Genomic DNA, 6,000 nt, shown 5'->3' on the forward strand with positions numbered 1-6,000 from the left:
GTAGCTGATACTGATTGTTTCTTTCCATGTTTAGTGCTTCCTTTAGGAGCTCTTGTAAGGCAGACCTCGTGGTGACAAAATCTCTCAGCATTTGCTTATCTGTAAAGAATTTTATTGCTCCTTTACTTATAAAGCTTAGTTTAGCTGGATATGAAATTCTGGGATGAAAATTCTTTTCTTTAAGAATGTGGAATATTGGCCCCTACTCTCTTCTGGCTTGTAGGGTTTCTGCCAAGAAATACACTGTTAGTCTGATGGGCTTCCCTTTGTGGGTAACTTGACCTTTCTCTCTGGCTGCCCTTAACATTTTTTCCTTCATTTCCACATTGGTGAATCTGACAATTATGTGTCTTGGGGTTGCTCTTCTCAAGGAGTATCTTTGTGGCATTCTCTACATTTCCTGAATTTGAATGTTGGCCTGCTTTGCTAGGTTGGTGAAGTTCTCCTAGATAATATCCTGAAGAGCGTTTTCCAACTTGGTTCCATTCTCCCCATCACTTTCAGGTACATGAATCAAATGTAGATTTGGTCTTTTCACATAGTCCCATATTTCTTAGAGGCTTTGTTTCTTTCTTTTTACTCTTTTTTCTCTAACCTTGTCTTCTTGCTTTATTTCATTAATTTGATCTTCAATCACTGATACCCTTTCTTCCACTTGATCAAACATAGTCCCATATTTCTTAGAGGCTTTGTTTCTTTCTTTTTACTCTTTTTTCTCTAACCTTGTCTTCTTGCTTTATTTCATTAATTTGATCTTCAATCACTGATACCCTTTCTTCCACTTGATCAAATCGGCTATTGAAGCTTATGCATGCCTCACGAAGTTCTTGTGCCATGGTTTTCAGCTCCATCAGGTCATTTAAGGTCTTCTCTACACTATTTATTCTAGTTAGCCATTTGTCTAACCTTTTTTCAAGGTTTTTAGCTTCCTTTTGATGGGTTCGAACGTGCTCCTTTAGCTCGGAGAAGGTTGTTATTACCGACCATCTGAAACCTAGTTCTGTCAACTTGTGAAAGTCATTCTCCATCCAGCTTTGTTCTGTTGCTGGCAAAGAGCTGCAATCCTTTGGAGGAGAAGAGGCGCTTTGGTTTTTAGAATTTTCAGCTTTCCTGCTCTGGCTTCTCCCCATCTTGGTGGTTTTATCTACCTCTGGTCTTTGATGTTGGTGACCTACAGATGGTGTTTTGGTGTAGATGTCCTTTTTGTTGATGTTGATGCTATTCCTCTCTGTCAGTCAGTTTTCCTTGTAACAGTCAGGTCCTTCAGCTGCAGATCTATTGGAGTTTGCTGGAGGTCCACTCCAGACCCTGTTTGCCTGGGTATCACCAGCGGAGGCTGCAGAACAGCAAATATTGTTGCCTGATCCTTCCTCTGGAAGCTTTGTCCCAGAGGAGCACCTGCCTATATGAAGTGTCTGTCGGCCCCTACTGGGAGGTGTCTCCCAGTTAGGCTACACAGGGGTCAGGGACCCACTTGAGGAGTCTGTGTGTCCATTCTCAGAGCTCAGACGCCATGCTGGGAGAATCACTGCTCTCTTCAGATCTGTCAACCAGGGATGTTTAAGTCTGCAGAAGTTGTCTGCTGCCTTTTGTTCAGCTATGTCCTCCCCACAGAGGTGGAGTCTATAGACCAGTAGGCCTTGCTGAGCTGTGCTGGGCTCTGTTCAGTTTGAGCTTCCTGGCTGCTTTGTTTACCTACTCAAGCCTCAGTAATGGTGGATGCCCCTCCCCCAGCCAGGCTTCCGCCTCGTAGTTCGATCTCAGACAGCTGTGCTAGTAGTGAGCAAGGCTCCATGGGCGTGGAACATACCAACCCAGGCACGGGAAAGAGTCTCCTGGTCTGCCGCTTGCTAAGATCATGGGAAAAACTCAGTATTTGGGTGGGAGTGTCCTGTTTTTCCAGGTACAGTCTGTCATGGCTTCCCTTGGCTAGGAAAGGGAAATCCCCTGAACTCTTGTGCTTGCCGGGTGAGGCGATGTCCTGCCCTGCTTCAGCTTGCCCTCTGTGGGCTGCACCCACTGTCCAACCTGTCCCAGTGAGATGAATCAGGTACCTCAGTTGGAAATGCAGAAGTCACCTGTCTTCTGCATCGATCACTCTGGGAGCTGCAGACTGGAGCTGTTCCTATTCAGCCATCTTCAATAAGCATTTTCTTTGAATATCATGTCAACACTAAAAAAGTTTTACTTTGCTCAACAAAATACTAGCAAACTGAATACAACAGCACTTCAAAAGGTAGTTCACCACAGTCCAGTGCTCTTCATTCCCCGAATGCAAGGTTAATTCAGCATACACAAGTCAATAAATAAGATTCACCACATAAACAGGATTTAAAACAAAAACCAGACACAGAAAAAGCTGCTGATAAAATCCAATATCCCTTCATGATAAAAACTGTTAACAAATTAGGCAGCAAAGAACATATATCAAAATAATAAGAGCCATCTAGGTGGGCAGGGCCAAGATGGCCAACTAGAAGCAGCAGCAAATCAGAGGCTCACATAGAAAAGAGCCATATTATCATGTGAATCCTTCAACAGCAACCAAGGTATCCAGGTTCTCTCATCAGAACTGACTAGGTGGCTGGCGGGATTCCCAGAGAGGAAGGAAGACCAATGTGGTCTGGCAGGCTACCTGAGAGCCACAAGGGGCAGGGGAGCCCCACATCCCAGCCAAGGGAGGTGGTGAGTGAGCATGCTACACAGCCAGGGTAACCATGTTTTTTCCATGGACCTGCGCAACGCATGGGTCAAAAGATCTCACTCATGAACTCATGCCACCAGGGCCTAGGGTCCCAAACCTGGAGCGGGCAGATTTTCAAAGCCTCTCAGCTAGAATCAACTTAAGCTTGCCTAGTTTCCAGCGGGAGGGGCGACTAGCACCACAGCTGTGGCTGCCTGCTATCTAAGCCATTTGAATTCCTTGGGGGAGGGTCGGCAGCCAGCACTGAGACTCATAACTGCCTAACATGCTCAGCTCCCTAGGCAGGGGAAGGACCACATCTATCTCTATAGCTCCAGGCCATGCTTTTCCCCCCGCTGGAGCCAGGGAGGCTGGACAGCTTAGTCCCAATAGGTGTCTCCCACAGCCCCACACACCAGCTGTGGCAGACTGTGGACAGAGTGCCTCTTCAGGGCTTACCCTGACCCATCCCACCTCACTGGGAGGGGCCTCCCTGCAAGAACTCCAACAACTCCAGCTAGAGGCTCAGGGACAGAACCCTGATCTCCCTGAGCCTGAGCCCCTAGGGGGAAGGCTGGCTGCAGTCTCCGTGGACCAGCAGACTTAGCCTTTTTTACTGGTAGTTCTGAGGAATCCAGGCAGCCCAGATGAGTCGGTTCCCCCCAGCAAAGCAGACTCCCTCCACCAAAAGACAGTCAAAGTGCTTTGTTAAATGGGTCCTATTCCCTGTGCTACCCAACAGGGTGAGACCCTCCATCAGGGTGAGACTCTCCAACACTTTATACAGGAGCAATCCTACGGTTATCAGGTTGTTGCCCCTCAAGGTCAGAAGATCCCAGAAGAAGGAACAGGCACCCATCTTTGCTGTTCTCCAGCCTCCTTGAGTGACATCATCAGGTGTGGGGACAAACTAGATGAATAGGTCCCAAACCCCCAGCAAATCACAGCAGCCCTACAGAAGAAGGACCTGACCATTGAAAGAAAAACAAACAAATAGCAGAAAGCAACAACAACAGCATCAACAAGAAAAACAGAAGTCTCCACAAAAACCATATCCAAGGGTCAGCAGCCTCAAAGATTGAAACTAGATAAACTCATGAAGATGAGAAATAATCAATGAAAAAATGCTGAAAACGCAAAAGGTCAAAGTGCCTCTTCTCCTCCAAATGATTGTAGTGCCTCTCCAGCAAGGGCACAGAACTGGATGGAAGATAAGATGGTCAAATTGACAGCAGTAAGCTTCAGAAGGTAGGTAACATAAAACTCTGCCGAGGTAAATGAACATGTTCTAACCCAATGCAAAGAAGCTAAGAATCTTGATAAAAGGTTAGAGGAGCTGCTAACTAGAATAACCAGTTTAGAGAGGAACATAAATGACCTGATGGAGCTGAAAAACAGCACGAAAACTTCGTGAACAATACACAAGTATCAATAGCTGAATTGACCTAGAAGAAGAAAGGTTATCAGAGTTTGAAAACTACCTTGCTGAAATAAGGCATCCAGACAATATTAGAGGAAAAAAAAATGAAAAGGAATGAACAAAGCCTCCAAGAAATATGGGACCAAGTAAAAAGACCAAGCCTATGATTGAGTGGAGTACCTGAAGGAGACGAGAAGAATGGAAACATGCTAGAAAATATACTTCAGGATATTATCCAGGAGAACTTCCCTAATCTAACAAGACAGGCCAGCACACAAATTCAGGAAATACAGGGAACACCATTAAGATACTCCATGAGAAGATCAACCCCAAGACACATAATCATCAGATTCTCCAAGGTCGAAATGAAAGAAAAAATGTTAAGGGCAGCTAGAGAAAAAGGCCAGCCAACCTACCAAGGGAAGCCCATCAGACTAACAGCAGACCTCTCAGCAGAAACTCTACCAGCCAGAAGAGATTAGAGGCAAATATTCAATATTCTTAAAGAAAAGAATTTTCAACCCAGAATTTCTTATCTAGCCAAACTAAGCTTCATAATCCTTTCCAGACAAGCAAATGCTGAGGGATTTCTTCACCACCAGGCCTGCCTTAAAACAGCTTATGAAGGAAGCACTAAATATGGAAAGTAAAAACCAGTACCAGTCACTGCAAAAAGCACAGCAAATTATAAAGAACAATGACACTATGAAGAAAGTGCACCAACTAGTTTGCAAAATAGCCAGATAGCATCATGATGACAGGATCAAATTCACACATAACAATAATAACCTTAAATGTAAATGGGCTAAATGCCCCAATTAAAAGACACCGAATGGCAAATTGGATAAAGGGTCAAGACCCATTGGTGTGCTGTATTCAGGAGACCCATCTCACATGCAAAGATACACATAGGCTCAGAATAAAGGGATGGAAGAAAATTTATCAAGCAAATGGAAAGCAAAAAACAAACAAACAAAAAACAAAAAGCAGGGGTTGCAATGCTAGTCTCTGATAAAACAGACTTTAAACCAACAAAGATCAAAAGAGACAAAGAAGGACATTACACAGTAGTAAATGGATCAATTCAACAAGAAGAGCTAACTATCCTAAATATATATGCACCCAATACAGGAGCACCCAGATTCATAAAACAAGTTCTTAAAGACCTACAAAGAGACTTAGACTCCCACACAGTAATAGTGGGAGATTTTAACACTCCATTGTCAATATTAGACAAATCAACAAGATAGAAAATCAACAAGGATATTCAGGACTTGAACTCAGCTCTGGATTAAATGGACCTAATAGACATCTGTAGAACTCTTCACCCCAAATCCACAGAATATACATTATTTTCAGCACCACATGGCATTTATTCTAAAATCAACCATATAATTGGAAGTAAAATACTCCTCAGCAAATGCAAAAGAGTGGAAATCTAACAAACAGTCTCTCAGACCACAGTGCAATCAAATTAGAACTCAGGATTAAGACATTCACTCTAAACCACACAATTTCATGGAAACTGAACAACCTGCTCCTGAATGGCTCCTAGGTAAATAATGAAATTAGGGGAGAAACAAGAAGTCCTTTGAAACTAATGAGGACAAAGAGACAGCATATCAGAATCTCTGGGAAACAGCTAAAGCAGTGTTAACAGGAAAATTTGTAGCACTAAATATCCATGTCAGAATTCTAGAAAGATCTGAAAATGACTGCATAATAGCACAATTAAAAGAGCTAGAGAGGCGAGAGCAAACTAATCCAAAAGTTAGCAGAAGACTAGAAATAACTAAGACCAGAGCAGAATTGAAGGAGATAGAGACATGAAAAATCTTCCCCAAAGTCAATGAATCCAGGAGCTAGTTCTTTTGAAAAAAATAACAAAATAGACCAC

This window comes from Homo sapiens, chromosome 11, assembly GCF_000001405.40.
Source record: "Homo sapiens chromosome 11, GRCh38.p14 Primary Assembly".
Lineage (NCBI taxonomy): Eukaryota > Metazoa > Chordata > Mammalia > Primates > Hominidae > Homo > Homo sapiens.